At 40.2% G+C, this 1,009-nt stretch overlaps 1 annotated feature.

The window, feature by feature from the left end:
* Positions 504 to 736: a silencer, noted in NCBI's record as "fragment chr18:35709536-35709768 (GRCh37/hg19 assembly coordinates)". NCBI's record gives its function as "represses an EF-1alpha promoter that drives an FKBP-Casp9 reporter gene in an ReSE screen in K562 erythroleukemia cells {active_cell/tissue: K562}" and the evidence as "EXISTENCE:reporter gene assay evidence [ECO:0000049][PMID:32094911]".

Here is a 1,009-nt window from a genome sequence, read left to right on the forward strand (position 1 = left end):
CCCAATGAGCCATAATCCTTAATTAGAATTGTTCGTTCCCCATTTAAGAAGAAAGAGGCAAAGAATGGAAAACATGCTTACATGGAGGAGCTAGCAAAATACGAGGTAATAAAATTTAACAAAACCAAATTTGTAGATCACTGGTAGGAAACAGCTTAGGATCAGCTCCCTCTCCCAAATGATACACATCTTAATCTCTTGCTCTGAACATGATGATTACATCTGTGATTTTTATTAATACAGAAAACAATAGATGATCAAGTCATTTATGACTAAAATGTTTGAAACCCAGATAACATACTGAGGGGCTCCAGACTGATAAATTACAGTATTCTTCAGAGAAACTCAAAGACCTTAGGAAAAACAAAACAATTAACATGACACTGGTTAGCAAATAAAAGCGTGCTGTGAGGTGTGGTTGATAAAAGAGGCTGTTTACCTTAGACCAATGTTCTTTCCCCTGAACCAGAGATGAGGAACTTTTTCACAACTCTTGTGCCTTTTTGAGAAGATGGGAGAAGTAACTACACACTGCCTTCCCCTTTCTCTTCTCACTGACCCCTCTCCATGGAAAGAAGAGCAGCCAATGAGATGAGTCAGAGTCAGATGCTAGGACTTGACTATAAGCCACAGGTTTGATTACTAGAAAGGAGTCCTGATCCAGACCCCAAGAGAGGGTTGTTTGATCTTGTGCAAGAAAGAATTCAGGGTAAGTCCATAGAGTAAAGTGAAAACAAGTTTATTGGGAAAGTAAAGGAATAAAGAATGTCTACTCCATAGGCAGAGGAGGAGCAGGGGCTGCTCAGCTGCTTATAGTTATTGTTACTTCTTGATTATATGCTAAACAGGTGTGGATTATTCATGAGGTTTCCAGGAAAGGGGTGGCCAAGTCCCAGAGCTGAGGGTCCCACCCCTTTTTAGCCCATATAGGATAACTTCCTGACATTGCCATGACATTCATACTGTCATGGTGCTGGTGAGAGCATCTTTTAGCATGCTAATGCATTAT

This window comes from Homo sapiens, chromosome 18, assembly GCF_000001405.40.
Source record: "Homo sapiens chromosome 18, GRCh38.p14 Primary Assembly".
NCBI lineage: Eukaryota > Metazoa > Chordata > Mammalia > Primates > Hominidae > Homo > Homo sapiens.